An 18,711-nucleotide genomic window follows, 5' to 3' on the forward strand; every position below is an offset into this window, starting at 1 on the left:
TGGAACAGAGACCATCTTTGTGCTTTCCTGGTATTGACTCATCACCCTGTATTATCGAAATATGACTATATTTTTACATTATATAAATATGTATATATAATAACAGTCACTTAGTGTGTTGCTAATGTTATCATCCCTTATTACAGAATAGGAAACTGAGACACATAGGTTAAGAGACTAAGGAACTTGCCAAAAGTCACATTGCCTGCAAGGGCAGGGACAGTAGAGTTTTCACGATGCCTGTGGCACTATACATATATATATATATACACACACACATATATATATACACACACATATATACATATACATATATACATATATATACACACACACACACACACATATATATATATATATATATATCTTGATACGTATATATATAAATGAAGAGAGAGAGTGCACTAAAAACATCTGGCCCAGAGTAAGTATCCAGAAGTATGAGTTTTTATTCTCACATCTCTGAACTTCTGCTTTCTGCTCTTCCCCATTATTCCTTGCCCCTGTCTGCCCTAGACCTCTCTCCCTGCCCCGCACACCTTCACTTCCCCTCCACACTCCACTCTCTTCCCCCATTGCCCATTTCCTCTGACTCTGGATCTGAATAAATTGATACCATCTTCTCATGATTTAGCTCAGAAAACATTAGTACCATAAGTCTTTCCTTAGATCAAAAATGAATTTACTTTTTTGAGACAGGGTCTCACTCCCATTGCCCAGGCCAGAGTGTAGTGGTATGATCATGGTTCACTGCAGCCTTGACTTCCTGGGCTCAAGTAATCCTCCCACCTCAGACCCCTGAGTAGCTGGGAATACAGGCATGAACCACCATGCCCAGCTTATTTTTTTATTCTTGTAGAGACAAGGTCTCACTACATTGCCCAGGATGATCTCGAACTCCTGGGCCCAAGCAATCCTCCTGCCTTGGCCTCCTAAGATTCTAGGATTATAGGTGTGAGCCATCATGCCTAGCCAACAATAAACATTAATGGTAGAAGTAATCAACACAAGATACAACAGACGAGGTGAATACTATACAAAAAATAAAATACCACTAATAAAAATTCAACTGCTAACAGCTTCATATCTCCATCAGATTCAGATCTTCACAATTTGATGGAGGAGAGTTGGACTTAATAGAACTAATAGCAATAGAATAATCCATATGATAATAATTTTTGACCTTTAAATTTCACTCTTTAAATTATTTCTAAAAATTTATATGCTTTTGTGCTATCATTATCCAGTGACCACTTGCTTGTCCAAGCATTATACAAGTTACATGAAGAGGTCACTAGAGTTCTAATTTCCTAGAGAAATTTCCATTCAAATTTTCCATACAAGCTCATGATGATGAAACTCCAGCATTGCATTTAGGCTCCACGATACCCTGTAAGGAAAGCTGAATATTCATTATGCTAATAAAATGTGCCCTCCCCCTGCCCCACAGACTCAGACCTTGAGTCCCAGAAGAGCTGAAGAGATAATCTAAACATCATCCAAGGGGTCAAAAGTAGACTTGACATCTGTCTCTCCAGAACATGCCCCAGGGAAATGCGGGAACAGCAACAATAACAGCTTAGAATTTATTGGAAACTGACCATATGCCAGGGACTGTCCAGACAACTGTACATGTCTTCACACAGTCAGTGCTCTAAACTGCCCCAAGAAGTAGATGACATTACTAGTAGTATTTCCATGGTACTAATGGAGAAAGGAAGCACAGAGATGTTAAGGAACTTTCTCAGGGTCACCCAGCAGTGAGTGCTGGAACCAAGAGCCACGGGCATCGCGAAAACTCTACTGTGCTGCATATTAGTGCAATCAAGAGTAAGATCCAAAAGCTACTGCAAAATATTTAGAATTTTATAGCATGGGACTGCACAGGCAATAGATATTTGATTTCTTCAGAAATCTTTAAGAGATGGAGACTTGAAAGGACTGGTCTGGGTATCATTTGGAGATGGTGCCCTGAGTGTGTCATTACCATAACAGGCAGCACGTCAGTGTCGGTCTCCTCAGCTGAAGGTCTTGGGTTTGTACATCAGAGAACACATCAAACCTATCCCTTCCATACCTTCACAAAGGAGAAAGAAGCTGTGTCACTGGGAAAGGAGACTATTCTCCTGCTCTAGTATTGCTCAGACACGTTTCCATGAAAGTTAGAACCTAGGATCTTTTAAAAGTGCAGATTCCAGAACTCACACCCAGTGAGTCTCATGTAGTCCAAGGGAACTTTGCTGGCCAGCCTAGGGAACTTTCAGAAACCTTATTAAATCCCTTTGGTAGCAAGACTGTCTGCAATATACCCAGAAAAATATTCCCAGGACAGACATGAGGTTCAGAAGAGCAACCTCAGAGCAAAGTAACACAGGACAAGATGAGCGCAGTGTGAGACTCACCGTAAGGGTAGGGCAGAGGGACTTTTGAGAAGGCCTCACAACTCCTACTGGCCTTTCTCCTTGAAGGCCTCAGTTTATCTCAAATCCCTTCTCTTCATGGGCAGTGAATGAAGGGGTCCCAGGAAATGACCTTTTAGATCCCAAAATGGTATGGGCTCCTCTCAGGGACCACTGAACACATAGGATGGGAGGAGATGCAAGCTGTTGTCCCCCTCCCACCAGCCTTGGTTTCCTTCTTGCACCGTCATTTCCTTCAACGGGAGCCTAGAGCAATGTCAGGACTTAGGACCAATGTCTTCCCTTCACCAACAGACACCTGCCCCTCACCTAAGGAGTTCGTCTCCCCTCTCCTCCCTCCAGCTGTCCTTCTCCTTCTCCCACAGCACACACCTGTCCCTGGCAGCCTGACGACCTAGCCTGGCCTGTTCCTCCTATGTCACAGCCTGGAGAGGGCTGTCCTCACTGAGAAGAAGGACACCAGTCCCAGGATCCCAGAGCCATGACTACCACAGAACCATCCTGAGCATCAATGTCCCATGGCAGTGGTTGACCTTTGAAATGAAGCTTCACCACACACCCCAGCTGGCACTGAAACACTTTCTTATCACAAGAAAGCAACACAGAGGAACAAGGTTCCCGCAACCCCTCCTGGGGAACATTGTGTCCTTCTCCATGTTACTGTGCTGTTTCCTCTGTACCGACTGCAACATTCCTAAACTTTTGATGTTATTAAGAAGTTCTAGGATTCTTCTTTTAAATCCTAAACTTGTGGTTTGTAGTCAGAATATCATCGCCCATTTTGGGGCATTTTGGAAATTTCCAAGGGCAGCTTTGGGTGTTCAAATTATTGGAAGCGGCTACTGGCATTTGTGGAGTGAAGGTTACAGGGAGGCAAACAACTTTTTCCAGAGTCTTAAATAAACTGGATTTTTTTCCATATATATCACTTCCCTGTAAACTGGGTGGCGGGGGCCGGGGCTTGTATGTTGCTTCACCTGGAAACTTACAAAGACTTATTGACTGCTTTAGAAATCACATCACTGCAGGGCATTCCATTCTTGGATTCCACTCTGACACAACATACCAGTATCAATTTGCTTTGTAGTGCTGCATGCCTGGGGGAAACAATGAGGGGAATCCAACTTACCTACCAAAGGGATCATTTCCATGATAAGCTGTTAGTTGATGGGGAAAATCAAGCGGGAGATGTTGGTAGTGTGATCTCTCATTAGTTGGTGAACACACCGGCTATGCCCATTGCTGTTACTAAACTGAACTTCTCTTTGCAGGTGTATTTCCCTCACCAGGCTCTGTGGTCTCTCCTGGAAGGTTGGAAACATGCCCAGTAGATCCCTGAGTCCTCAGGATGGGATAGAGGACCTCACAGACAGAAAGAGGGCAGGGAACACTTATGGAATTGTAGTGATCTCTACATGGTTGGATGACCAAACGCTGAGTCACAGTGATGAGCCCCATGGCTGGCAGTCTGCAGAGGGTGGGAGGAGAATGCCAGAGGCCTCTGCCTTAGGAGCCATGCAACAGAGTGAGACCAAAGTACTGATCTCAGCTATGCCCTTTAAGGGTCCCAGATGTAAGCAGCCTTTTGGTTAGGGTTCCTCTGTGTGTGTGTGTGTGTGTGTGTGTGTGTGTGTGTGTGTGTGTGTGTGTGTGTGTGTGTGTGTGTGTGTAGAGGGAGAGAGAGAGAGAGAGGCTGTGGGGGCTGGCAAGTCTAAATTGTGCAGAGCAGAATGTCAGGCTGGAGACCCAGGGAAGAGGTAATGTAGCTCGAATCCAAGGGCAGTCTCGAGGCAGAATTTTTTCTTCATGGGGGGATCCCAGTCTTTTTTTTTTTCTTTAAGACTTTCAAGTGATTGAATGAGGCCCAGCCACATCATGGAGTATAATTTGCATTACTCAAAGTCTACTGATTTTAATGTTAGTCTCATCTTAAAAAACACCTTCACAGAGACACCTAGTCTGGTGTTTCAACAAATACCTGTGTACTGTGGCCAAGCCAAGTTGACACATCAAGTTTACCATCACAGCCAACTAATACAAATCCCAGTAACCATGAAGGTCTATCTTAGAAAGGCAGGTGACTTCCTAACTAAGATTGTGTATGAACCTTTTTTTGTCCAGCCCAAGTCTCCATTTCAGGCTCAGCACCAATCTGGACAGGAAACTGAAGCTGACATGAATGCCTTCCAGGGATGAGGCAGTGATGGAATAGTCAGGGCGCACATGCAAGTACAATCCCAGAAGGCACACGTGGTACCCCTGGACACCAAGACTTTACCCTTGTTAGGGCACCCCCAGCAGGACATACATTAGTCAGGCAGGAGCTGGCCAAGGCCCCCAGTGTGGCTTCCCACTGTGGGACTTTTCCCTCTAGGGTTCCTCGTCCATCCAAACAACTCATTTGTGTTCTTGGTTTCTGAGGGACTGACAGAAGGCAGTCAGTCCAGGTTCTGTTAACCATTGACACCAGTTCCTCCTCTTCACAAGCATGGATGACATCTGTAGATGTTCTGCATGGGATGCTCAGGAGCTGGGTTGCCCCTACTGTCCCCTAGTTGCAGCTCTGTCAGGTGTAATTGTGCACTCGGCAGTCAGTATGATTTCAACATACTCACAGAAATTTAGGAAGGCTGAATGAGGAGCTTTTTTTTTTTTTCAGGAAAAGGGGAAGGTTTTCATGAACCATTTGAAAACCAGAGATCACTAATGTCCCCTCTCTCTGGCTTGACTCTTTCCACATGTCAGGTTTTGTGTTTTCTTCATTGTTAGAAAACCAGTGTGTACTAATCTGAAATCAAAACTTTCCACTTCTTACAAATCAAAACTACAATGAGATATCATCTCAGTGGATCATGCCTGTAATCCCAGCACTTTGGAAGGCCTAGGAAGGAGGACTGCTTGAGGCCAAGAGTTCAAGACCAACCTGGCCAACATAGCAGAACCCATCTCAAAAAATAAATAAAATTTTTAAAAACTTATATTTTTTAAAAGGCTGGGCGTGGTGGCTCATGCCTGTAATCTCAGCACTTTGGAAGGCCAAGGTGGGTGGATCACTTGATGTCAGGAGTTCAAGACCAGCCTGGCCAACATGGTGAAACCCCATGTCTACTAAAAATACAAAAATTAGCTGGGCATGGTGATGAGCACCTGTAATCCCAGCTACTCGAGAGGCTGAGGTGGGAGAATCGCTTGAGCCTGGAAGGCGGAGGTTATAGTGAACCAAGATCAAGCCACTGCACTCCAGACTGGGTGATAGAGTGAGACTCCATCTCAAAAATAAATAAATAAATAATTTTAAAAAAGAAAGTCAATTAATGTAAGTAACGATATATTAATCAGTTAAAGTAAAAAATAATAATCTCAATAGATACTATAAAGACACTCAATGTAATTCAATATATACTTTAAATAAAACCAAGTATCTCTTAAAAAAAAAAGACCTTCCCATTTCTTTACTTATCATCTACCGTCCTCTAGATCTTTTCTCTGAAATGGTCATATGCAAGAGGGAAAAAAGAATTTTCAGAGAAAAAAATTTTAATAAATCAACCAATAATACACATCATGTTCAGAAACTGATCAGGATGAAATTCCAGATTTAAAAATAAATTTATGTAGGTTTGCATAACTTCTTATCCCTTTTGTCTCTATCATTTATTTCACGAGCAGGCTGGAAAAGTTCAATGCTTTGCTGGTGACAGCTCTGCATTGAATGGTCAAAGTGCCTTACCAAGGTGTGTACACCAGGAGAAAAGTTAGGGAAGCAAAGCCAGGCTATTAGTCCTTTGTTGTGTAGGAGCTGAGGGCTTTGGCCCTTTACAGGTTCACTGGAAATGACTAACATAAGGCAGATTGAGCCCAGGAATTAAAGACCAGCCTAGACAACACAGAGAAACTCCATCTCTACAAAAAGATAAGAAAATTAGCCTGGCATCCTGGCACATGCCTGTGATCTCAGGTACTCGTGAGGCTGAGATGGGAGGATTGCTTGAACCCAGAAGGTCGAGGCTACAGTGAGCCATGATTGCACCACTGCACTGCAGCCTAGGCAACAGAGTGAGACCGTCTCAAAATAAAAAAGAAAAAATATTTCCCCTCCAGCCTTCCCTGAAGGGGATGGTCCCTCTAGCATTTATTACATTATAAGTATATAGCATTTCACATCAATTTTATCATACATCCAGATGCAGCAGCCATAAAACAAAAAAAAAAGCTATTTTTAATTCCTTTTTTTGGCTTTCATTGCAATTATAGGGTTAACATCATAGCTGCCAGGGGAGATTCTGTCTGGAAGGCTGGGAGGGGCTGCAGTAGCAGCAGCAAAGCTGAAGAAAAGGCTGGAGAAATTTTTCTTTTTGTTCCCTTTGGTTTATCTAAGCTTTGCTCCAGCCCAGAGAACTGATATAATTTTTTCCCTCCCACCTGGAGGAGAGAGAAACCCAAATTTTTAACATTTTTCATCCACCCCAGCATTACTTTTGTGAATTCCCAGTCCCTTTCTTTTGTTTGGAAGAGAGGACAAAAACCAAAATTTGACCTGGCTGTGCTCCCACCCCACAATCTCCGGCATGGCAAAAGACGCCAAGGAATGCAGTGATCCAAGTCTCCAAGAGTTGGATGTGTTCTTTTTAAATTCTGTAAGTAACATTTACCTCTCACAAGAGACAACAGCTAGCTGCTGTTTCACAGCGTGTGTGAGGCCATAATCGCCCGAGCACAAAAGGTTCATCACCCATTACTCCTTCATCCTTTCTTTACTTAAACAAGGCTTTCACCATATTTTAGTGAGTCAGGCTCATTCTGGCAAATCCCACCACTGTCACAACTGTGTCAGGGGTCCCCAAGACCACTCCCATTTTCGATTATTTGCTGGGAGGACGCACAGGACTCACAGTCAGCATATAGCTGGACTCATGTTGGTGAAGATTCATTACAATGGAAGTATACGGCAATATCAGCACAAAAAAAAAAGTGTATGGGGCAATGTCCCGAGGAAACCAGCCCAAGTTTCCAGGAGTCCTTTTTTAGGAAAGTCACAGAATTCGTTCCTCCAGAAATCAATTGTGACATGTGTGATGTGACATATTTTCTACCAGAGCAGCTCACTAGAGATTCAGTGTTGAAGACTTTTACTGGGGGCTGGTCACACAGGCACCCTCTGCCTAGCATGTGCCAAGATTCCAGACTTCCAGAATGAAAGCACCTATGCAGCATAAACTATATTTTGTACAAACAGTTTAGGCAGAGTAAGGGAATCATGGGAATCCTTCCCAAATCCAAGTTCCCTGATGCCTGGCAAGGGCCAACATGGTAAGCAGGCCCTTCTAAGGGAAGTCTCAGGCTTCCTATATTATTAACCCTTTTCTGCCAGCACCGAACAACAGACCTTCGAAACACAAAAGCAGGCTGGGCACAGTGGTTCGCGCCTGTAATCCCAGAACTTTGGGAGGCCGAGGCAGGTGGATCACCTGAGGTCAGGAGTTTGAGACCAGCCTGGCCAACAGGATGAAACCCCATCTGTACTAAAAAATACAAAAATTAGCCAGGTGTGGTGGCACATGCCTGTAATCCCAGCTACTCAGGAGGCTGAGGCAGGAGAATCGCTTGAACCTGGGAGGCGGAGGTTGCAGTGAGCTGAGATTGCACCACTGCACTCCAGCCTGGGTGACAGAGTGAGACTCTGTCTCAAAAAACAAAAAACAAAAACAAAAAAAAAAACACAAAAGCAAAATCACACATAGAGGAAAAGATGAACAAATTTATAATTATAGTTGGAGATTTCAATTCTCTCTCAGTAATATATAGAAATAGTTGAAAGAAAATTAGCAAGGATATAGAAGAACTGAATGACACCATTTACCCACTGAATTGTATTTACATTTACAGAACCATCTACATAACAACATGAGGATATACATTCTTTTCTAGTACATATGGACACTTCACCAAAATAGCCCATATCTTGGGTCACAAAATAAATCTTCCCAAATGTAAAATAATTGAAATCATACAGAGCATGTTCTCTGATCAAAATAGGAAAAAAAAAAAACAAGGAATAAGAGAAAGTAAACAGGAAAATCTCCAAACTTAGAAATTAAACAATCCATATACTTCTAAGTAATCCATGGGTCAAGGAGCAATACAAGGGAAATTAGAAAATATTTTAAACTGAATGAAGATGAAAATACAACATATTAAAATTTGCAGGATGCAGCTAAATCAGTGCTAGGGAGTAAATTTATACCATTACATTATCATATTGGAAAAAATAAAGGACCCAAACCCATTATGAAACTTTCCACCTTAAGAAACTAGAAAAAGAAAATAAAAATAAACCCAAAGTAAGCAGAATGAGGGAAATAAAGATTGGAGCTGAAATCGATAAGACTGAAAACAAAAAAAAGAACAGACAAAATCAATGGCCCAAAAGCTCGTTCTTTGAAAACTTTAATACAAGTTAGAGACCCCACAAAAATGAAAAGGATACTATGAATAACTAATGAATACTAATTCACAAATATATGAATGCATATACATTAAGCAACTTAGATGAAAATGGAACAATTGTTTGAAAGACACAAACCACCAAAACTTACTCAAAAATAGATCATTGGCCAGCTGTGGTGGCTCATGCCTGTAATCCCAGCACCTTGGGAAGCCAAGGTGGGTGGATCACTTGAGGTCAGGAGTTCAAGACCAGCCTGTACAACATGGCAAAACTCTGTCTCTACTAAAAAAAAATAATAATAATAATAAAATAAACCAATAATAAAATAAACCAATCATCTAAATAGATTCCATCTATTAAAAGATGGAATTTTCTTAATCCAGTCTATCATTGTTGGACATTTGGGTTGGTTCCAAGTCTTTGCTATTGTGAATAGTGCCACAACAAACATACATGTGCATGTGTCTTTGTAGCAGCATGATTTATAATCCTTTGGGTATATACCCAGTAATGGGATGGCTGGGTCAAATGGTATTTCTAGTTCTAGATCCCTGAGGAATCGCCACACTGACTTCCCTAAACTTAAAGTATAATAATAATAAAATTAAAAAAATAAAATAAAAAAATAAAATCACTGCAGAAAAAAAAAACATGGAATTGATGGTTGAAATATTTACCAAATCATGTTATAAGATCAGCATTACACTGACACCAAAATCAGACAAAGACAGCATTAAGAAAAAACCAACTATAGTGTAATCTCCCTCATGAACATAGATTCAGAAAATTCTCAACAAAATATTATCAAGAAAACATTTGGTTAATATTAAATCCAATAATATATAAAAAGGATAATGCACCAAGACCAAGTGGGATTTATCTTGGGAATGCAAAGCTGGTTCAATATTCAAAAATGTGTCAATGCAATCTACCATATTAATATACCGAAAAAAAACTGCAAACTCCAACCACATGGTCACAACAGTTGATACAGATAAAGCCTTTGACAAAATTCAACAGTCATTCATAATTAAAGAAAAAAAAAACAGCAAACCAGAATTAGAAGGAGGCTTGCTTAACTTGATATGGAGCAACTAAAAAAATCCTACACCTTATATTATACTTAATAAAGACTAACTGCTTTCTCCATAACATCAGGAACCAAACAAGGTTGCTCATTCTCACCCCTGTTATTCAATATTGTACTGAAAGTTCCAACCAGCTTAAAAAGGAAAGAAAAAGAAATAAATGGCTTACAGATTGGAAAGGAGGGACTACAACTACTCCAACTCACAGACATTATTATAATCTACATAGAAAATCTTGTCAGATTTATAAAAAATACTTCTCGAATGAACAAGGGAGTTAAGCAACATTATAGGATATATGTTCAACAACAACAAAAAGCAAAGCACTTCTATAGACTAGCAATGAACTGCTTGGAACATTTTTAAAAATATACAATACCATTTACAATAGCTGCCCCTGAAAACCTAACAAAACATGTGCAGGAGCCGTATGCTAAAAACCATCAGAAGCTAATGAAAGAAATAAAGGAACAATTAAATAAAGAGAGGGACGTACTGTACTCATGGATTACAGACTCATTATAGGAATGATGTCCCCAAATTGATGTACAGATTTCATGCAATTCCAATGAAATTCCCAGCAGGATCTTTTATAGATACAAACTGATTCTAAAATTTATGTGGAAAGGGAAAGGAGCTACAACAGTCAAAATGACTTTGAACTTTGGGAAGCCGAGGCAGGATGGCTTGAGCCCAGAAGGTCGAGGCTGCAGTGAGTCATGATCATGCCACTGCACTCCAGCCTGAGTGACAGAGTGAGACCCCATCTCTGCAAAAAATAAGAAAACTTAGCCGAGTGTGCTGGTGTACACCTGTAGTCCCAGCTACTCAGGAGGCTGAGGATTGCTTGAGCCTGAGAGGCCAAGGGTGCAGCAAACCGTGATTGTGGCACTGCACTCTAGCCTGGGTGAGAGAGTAAGACCCTGTCTCAAAAAAAAAAAAAAAAATCTATTTGCCTTATTTTTGTGGATAGTTCAACAGAAAGAGAACAGTCTTTTCAACAAATGGTGTTGGAAACATTGGACATCCAGGATATTTATCCTAGAAGAAGGAAAATTTATGTTTACACAAAAATCCATGCACAAATGTTTATGGCAGCTCTATTCATAATTGTACCAAACTAGAAATGACCCAAATGTCCTTCAATGGGTGCATGGATAAACAAGATCTGCTACACACATACAATGGAATATTATTCAGAAAAAAAGAAGGAACTATTGATATATTCAACGATTTGAATGAAACTCAAGGGGTCGAGCGCAGTGGCTCATGCCTATAATCCCAGCACTTTGGGAGGCCGAGGCGGGCGGATCAGAAGTTCGAGACAACCCTGGCCAACATGGTGAAACCCCGTCTCTACTAAAAATACAAATATTGGCAAGGCATGGTGGTGCGTGCCTGTAATCCCAGCTACTCAGGAGGCTGAGGCAGGAGAATAGAATCGCTTGAACCCGGGAGATGGAGGTTGCAGTGAGCCGAGATCACGCCACTGCACTCCAGCCTGGGCAACAGAGCAAGACTCTGTCTCAAAAAAAAAAAAGAAAAGAAAAGAAAAGAAAGGAAAAGAAAAGAAAAGAGACTATGCTGAGTGAAGAAGCCAGTCTCAAAAGACTACAGGCTGTATTATTCCATTTCTATGATATCCTGGAAAAGACAATAGTATAGTGATAAGAGAACAGATCCGTGGGTGCCAGCGCTTAGGGGTGGGAGAAGGAAGTGACTATACAAGGGCAGCACAAGGAACCCAGGAAGTTCTTTGGGGTGATGCATATGTTCTGGATACTGACTGTGATGGTGGTTATATCTATCTATACAGGTGTTCAAATTCACAGAACTATACCTCAAGTGTCCATTTTACTGTATAATTTCAAAAATTAAGAAAATTTGCCCACCAGACAGGTTAGAATCCTTGCTTTCTGTAAAACTGTTATAATACAGACATATGTATGCCTAAACACTATTGTTATTTGCTTTTGAGCCATGTAGAAAGGGAATCACATAGCATATCCTCTTTTATATCTGGCTTCAGTCACCTAATGTTATGTCTCTGTATGGTCTAGCTCATTCCTTCTCATAGCTGTGCAGTAATTCATAGTGTGAATCTGGCAGAATTTATTTATGCAACTTCTTATTGGTGTGTAGTTGGGTTGTTTCCAGTTTTTAGCTATTACAAGTAGGGTTACTCTATGAACATCATTGCATGTACAAGAATTCTCATCACAGGTCTGGATGGTCAAAAAGTAAATCAAACACTAATTAACGATCCAATAGGAGAATGACTGAATAAACTATGGCTACAATAAATGATGGCATATAATCCAAATCAGGTCAGAACAGGTGAGTCATTATTTGGATAAATTACCCAAGTGTTAACCTGGTGGCTGTTGTGATGATGACGCATGGCTCTAATGACTGCATGTGGGTCGCAGTAACTCACAGTGAGCTCACTGGGCTCGTCTCGGGGCACCCATAGGCAGAGATGACGACAACAGGAAGGAACAGTGACAAAGCAGGTGGCCACCCCAGAACACTATAGAGAAAATCTCACCTGGTCCCCAGACCATGGTTCTGCTCACAACCTCAGAACTTCCCTCGCCTGACTGTCCTGAGCACTTCCAGGAAGGCAGCCCCTGGCTGTCCCTGAGGTGGCCGCATCTGTCCTTCCCCACCAACCCTGACCCACTCCTCCTCCTCTTGGGCCAAATCTGCTTTATTAACGCCTCAGCTCCCCTCCATTCATGAGCATCCCCTGCATGTTGGGGGTATAATGATGCTCACTGCGCAGGTGAGGAGACTGAGTGTCGTAGAGGGCAGCAGCTGGGCCTGCAGCTGCACAGCAGGTCAGTGGGCCTGTGCTGGGTGGGCCGTGCCTCACCCCACAGCTGTGCACCCCCTCAAGCTGTATGGAGATTGTCTGCTGCCTCCTCTTCTGAGGGATCCTCCTGGTCCCTGTCTCCCCAAACCACCAGGCCTGGAGCTTCTAGACCCAGAGTTCAGGCCCTGGGAGAGGACAGGGTGGAGGCGGAGCCGGCAGCTGGCCAGGATCTGGCTGGGGGGTTGGTGGCCTTTTCCTGAGCCCCAGGCTCTGTTGGAGCCTGCCCCCAGTATCTTCAGGATCCAGGCTGGTGCCCTCAGGACTCGCCAACCTATAGCCTGACCTGCCTCAGAGCCAGTGCATCTTGTAGAAGAAAGCATATAATGCAATCATTAAATAAGAAAAGGAAGACAAAATTATATGAGAATTTTCCTTTAGCCATGGAAATGAGCTTCTGGTACAAGGAGAAGAAGTAGGAAGGAGTGAAAAGCCATCTGCAGATGACCCCAACAGCACTAAAACCTGGCCCTAGGCTGCCCCTACCTGTCCACATGCAGAGAGGGAGGCTCCAAGAGACACCCAGCCTGGAGCTCATGCACCCTGAGGCCTCTGACCCCACCAGGAGTGAATGTTTAAGACTGTTCCTCTGTCTTCTCTGAGGCTTTCCCGGTCTTGGAGATGAGATGCCCCCTGCTGGCAAAGGTGGATATCACTGCAACGTGGCTGCACTGTGCCTGGAGACACCAAGACCTCACCGTGGGACCACAGGCTTCAGTCAGGCTTCCCTGACTGAAAGGAAAAGGTCACTTTGACTTAGCAGGAAGCTCAGGTTTGGACTTGGTCCCACCCTGGACAACAGACACGGAGAAGAGGAAGTGGAGGGGTTGTAGGATGTGGGTGGGTGACAGCAGGGCTGAGGGCTGAGGACAGAATGAGCAGGGGCCACTGTGAGACTAAGATGCTAGCTCTGGCCAGGTACGGTGGCTCATGCCTGTAATCCCAGCATTTTGGGAGGCCAAGGCGGGTGGATCACTTGAGGTCAGGAGTTCAAGTCCAGCCCGGCCATCATGGCAAAACCCCATCTCTACTAAAAATACAAAAATTAGCCATGCATGTTGGCGTGCACCTGTAATCCCAGCTACTCTGGAGACTGAGGCAGGAGAATCGCTTGAACCTGGGAGGTGCAGGTTGCAGTGAGCCGAGATCGCTCCACTGCACTCCAGAGTGGGCGATAGAGTGAGACTGTCAAGAAAAGAAAAGAAAAGAAAGAAAAGAAAAGAAAAGAAAAGAAAAGAAAAGAAAAGAAAAGAAAAGAAAAGAAAAGATGCTGGCCCTGGTCAGAAGGAGGAGGAGGAAGAGGAGGACCAGGAAGGCCTCGGCAAAGGACTGTGCTCGGAGCTGGGGCTGATGAGAATACAGAAGGCCCTCACCTGTGAATGGGTGATAGAAGTAGAGTTGACAGTCACGGAGTTGGGTGAGAAAAGCATGATTCATGTTAGGTGGTCAGCCAGTGTCTGGTACAGAATCACGGTGAGGTGAATACCGATAGTATTGGTATGAATGGTTGTATTAGTCAGGGTTCTCCCAAGAAACAGAACCAAAGAGGGGACTTGTTATGGGAATTGGCTCATGTGACTGTGGGGGCTGAGAAGTCCTGCCATCTCCATCTGCAAGCTGGAGAGCCAGGGAGGTGGATGGTGTGATTCAGTTTGAGTCCAAAGGCCTGAGAACCAGCAGAGCCAGAGGCATAATTCATGGAGTCTGAAGGCTTGAAAACCCGGAGTTCTTATGTCCAAAGGCAGGAGAAGACGGGGTGTCCCAACTCCAGAAGACAGCAAATTCCCCTTTCCTCCGCCTTCTTGTTGTACCTGTGCCCTCGAGGGATCGGACAATGCCCACCCACGCCAATCTTCCTCCATCGGTTCACTGATTCAAAGGCCAGAAACACCCTCACAGACACACCCAGAGATAATGGTTTGCCAGCTATTTGGGTTTTTCTTAACCCCATCAAGCAGACACCTAAAACTAACCATCACAATAGTGATATAAAAGGCATCACTCTGTGAACTGCCTGCGACATGCTGTTCTCCTCTACAGGGTGGGCACTCACTCTCTTGGAGGCTAAGGTCCATCTGTCTACCTCTGTGGCCCCAGTATGGGGACAATGACAGTTACCATCAAGGCTTGCCAAGGAAGAGGGTAAGTGGTAGGCAGAATAGTGGCCCCCCAAACACATCCATGTCATTATTGCTAGAACCTATTCCAGCCAGGGAGATGACAGTGGGCCTGTACTCAGCCTTGCCCTGTGCCCGGCACTGCTCTCGGTGACTGACCAGTTGTCTCACCTCTCCTTCACATAACCCTGTGAGGAGGGAAAGTTAGTACCCTGATGACAGACGAGCAAAGGGAGGCAGAGAGAGCTGAAGCCACTTGCCCACCGTCTGATCCGGGGCAATTTAGTCCCTGCCAATGTCACTCCAGCCCCTGCTCCTACCCTGCCTCAACTACTAGACCCATCTAACATGGGCTCGGGAGGAGGGCAGTACACATGTTTTCCCCAAAACCTGCACCTACCCTGCTTGGCGGGCATTAGCCTCCTTTATGAATGGGGAACTGAGGCTGGTCAAGGACAGGTGACTTGCCCAAAGTCACACCACCAGGGCTTGGGGTTCCAGGCTTCTATGAAGCCTGCCAGGCCCCAAAGCCCACATGTCCTGGGCTATTGTGGGTGTAAATGAGGCCTGAGGGGAGATGGACCCCAACATCTGAGGACAAAATGGGCAGATCCTGTCTATCCCCTGAGAGGTGGTGTTCCTGCTCCATGGCTGGCGTCAGGAGCACAGGATAGAGGATTTCCCACCAGACAATCTCCACAAACAGGCCTGAGGGAGCCTCTGGAGCCTCCAGGATAGAAGGCAAGACCTGGAGCCCAGGGGAGGTTCTGCAGGAAGGAGGCCGCCTATGCTGTGTGGTCCACACCAGCAGGCCAGGGCACTGCGAGCCTGTGTGCAGGAGTCAGGGACACTCACGCGACTCCCACTTCCCACAGCACTCTGCTTCACTTGTGAGTCTTTTTTTTTTTTTTTGCCTGAGAGTGTATAAAACGTTAAGTGTATGTTTTAATGACAAGCAATAAGCTGCACGTTCATGTAACAACCATATAGTTCAAGGTCGATCACCATCCCAGAAGTCCCCAGGGTCCCTTCTCAATCAGTGTGTTTTTCCTCACTGTCCCCCACCTTCCCCTTCTGCCTCTCTCTTCCATCCCAGTTCCTTTCTCATTCCTAAAGTCCTGCCTTCCCACTGGAAGTAGAAATGTCATGCTGGCCATGGTTCCTGTATTATCATAAATAATTTCTACTGGCTGGCTGGCTGACTTTCAGTGTGGATGGCACCTTCCCTCCAGCTGTGGGCTCAAGCCCTGTGTCTCCCGTGGCACAATAGGAGGTCATCCCTCTTTTAGGAATTTCAGGTGTGAGCAGGAGAGCAGGCTCAGGGCACTTCTCTGAGCCTCAGGTCCTTCATCTGTGACATGGGAGAACCCCATCTCCCTCTCAGGTTGTGGGAGAAATAGAGATGGGGACACCAGGCACCTGTCAATGAGTGCCACATGTCAAAACCTTGGATGAGCCTTTCTTTACCATCACACATCCTTGAGATCCCAGACCCACCAGGTGCTTCCCCTGCTCCAGGGCTGTTGCACTTGCTGTTCCTTCTGCCTGGAATGCTCTTCCCTCAGGTAATTGCAAGGCCTGCTCCTCACTGCCTCCAGGTCTCTGCTCAGTCATCACCTCTCCAGGGATGCCTTCCCCACACACCCTGAATAAAATAACATCCTGCCCACTTACCCATTTACCTGACCCTGTCTTAACTTTCTTTTTTTTTTTTTTTTTTTTTTTTGAGACAAAATCTCACTCTGTCACCCAGGCTGGAGTGCAGTGGCGCGATTTTGGCTCACTGCAAACTCCGCCTCCCGGGTTCAAGCAATTCTCATGCCTCAGCCTCCCAAGTAGCTGGGATTATAGGTGTCTGCCACCACGCCTGGCTAATTTTTGTATTTTCAGTAGAGACGGGGTTTCATCATGTTGGCCAGGCTGGTTTCGAACTCCCAACCCCAGGTGATCTGCCCGCCTCGGCCTACCAAAGTGCTGGGATTACAGGCATGAGCCACTGCGTCAGCCACTGTCTTAACTTTCTACGTAGCACTTACCACACTGTGATGTGCTATATATTTACTGACCAACTCTATGCTATCAGGGATGTTGTTGGTTTTGGTCTCTGTTGTATCTGCAGAACCTAGAACAGTACTCAAATATACAGCAGACGCTCAGGAAATTCTTGTTGAAGGATGGCTGGAGTGGGGCCCTTTACACACATTGCTAAGATGCACAGATGCCCTCCAAGATGGATATTGGCCCCATTTTACTGATTATGATACATACTGAGGTTCAAGGAGACAAGTGACTTGCCCAATGTCACACAATCAAGACTTGGGGGCTCCAGGCTTTGAAATCATGTCTGCCAGCCTCCAAAACCCATAGTTCCTGGACCGAGACCTCACAGCCAAAAAGGTAAGAAATTTCACTCCTGAGACACAGACTCCCAAACAGCTCAGATACTCAAAGACATCAAAAAGAGCTCACTAATCTCACAACCTGAAACAGACTCCAAAATCCCTGCACAGAGACCCCACAACTTGACACAGACCCCCAAACAGAACAGAGACCACACATGCTGTGACAAAGACCCCCACACACAACAGACCAAAGTTCTCACTCCTGGGAAACAAATTAAAACCATTCAGATATCTCACACCCTAGACAGAGACCCCCCCCAAACCACTCAGACACCTCCCAACCTAATACAAAACAGAAACAGAAGTTCAAGTAGCTCAGAAACATCACATAATCTTAAGATAAAGTCCCCAGACAAATCAGAGAACCTACATTCTGGGCAGAGACCCCTCCCTCCTCCAAACAGCTCAGATACTTTATACCTTAAGCAAAATTGTCCTCACCAACACCAGCTGGGAAACATCACAACTTGGGACCCAGAATTGCAAACAGCTCAGAGACTTCACATCCTGGGGTGCAGACACCTACATAGAGCTCTCACACCCAGGGACACAAATGTCCAAAAAGCTCAGAAGATGCACACCCAGGCCAGGCGTGGTGGCTCATGTCTGTAATCCCAGCACTTTGGGAGACCGAGGTGGGAGGATCACTTGAGGCCAGGAGTTCAAAAACAGCCTGATCAACATAGCGAGACTCCATATCTACAAAATAAAAAATAAAAAACTTAGCCGGGCATGGTGGTGAGCACCTATAGTCGCAGCTACTCGGGAGGCTGAGGCGGGAGGATAGCTTGAGCCTAGGAGTATGAGGCTGCAGTGAGCCATGATCAGCCACTGCACTCCAGCCTGGGCGACAGAGTGAGACTCTGAAAACAAACAAGAGAAAAGAAAAGAAGGCATATCCAGACACATAGGCACACAAAATCCACTGAGATAAAATATCCCATTCAGACACAATCTGGACCCCAAACGGCCCAGAGTGATCAAATACACCCAAACAGCATCTGAGATGTCATGCCTAAAGATACACATCCCCGAAACTGCTTCACCCGCATTACTTCCTAGGCAAACACCAAACAAGCTCAGAGACCGCTCCCTGGACATTAATTGAGTGTAGCGGGAGGAACGATGGTGCCGTGCCAAAAGCGCCAGACTAGGCTTGTCACCGAGTTAAGGATAAACAAGACTGAAAGAGCTCACGTGAAGCAAATGACTAGGGCGAACTTTGCCGGGGTGGCATCTCCAGCCCCTTTGGGACTGTCAGTTGGTGAGTAGGCCAAAGAACTCTACTGTATCAAAAGCCACACACCCTCCTCGCTCCCGCTGCCTGAACTTCAGCTCCGCAATCGTCGTGCCTGTCACAAACT

The 18,711-nt window shown here is 44.7% G+C and overlaps 1 protein-coding gene across 10 annotated transcripts in view, besides 1 other annotated feature; it reads right to left on the reverse strand.

Annotated features, from left to right (window-relative positions):
- FAM156A (family with sequence similarity 156 member A) overlaps positions 1 to 18,711 on the reverse strand; it is a 48,219-nt gene extending 29,508 nt beyond the window's left edge. For 5 of the 10 annotated variants that reach the window (NM_001242497.2, NM_001242496.2, NM_001242490.2 and 2 more), the window contains exon 1: positions 18,654 to 18,711. The gene's annotated coding sequence lies outside the window, so the exon portion shown is untranslated. Of the gene's footprint in view, positions 1 to 18,544 lie in introns of all 10 variants that reach the window. The other 5 variants (NM_001242495.2, NM_001242494.2, NM_001242489.2 and 2 more) reach the window with 1 other exon arrangement.
- Positions 12,910 to 13,489: an enhancer, noted in NCBI's record as "H3K4me1 hESC enhancer chrX:53018839-53019418 (GRCh37/hg19 assembly coordinates)". NCBI's record gives its function as "activates a minimal SCP1, AML or CMV promoter by ChIP-STARR-seq in naive H9 embryonic stem cells {active_cell/tissue: H9 hESC(naive)}" and the evidence as "EXISTENCE:reporter gene assay evidence [ECO:0000049][PMID:30033119]".

This window comes from Homo sapiens, chromosome X (assembly GCF_000001405.40).
Source record: "Homo sapiens chromosome X, GRCh38.p14 Primary Assembly".
NCBI classification, from domain to species: domain Eukaryota; kingdom Metazoa; phylum Chordata; class Mammalia; order Primates; family Hominidae; genus Homo; species Homo sapiens.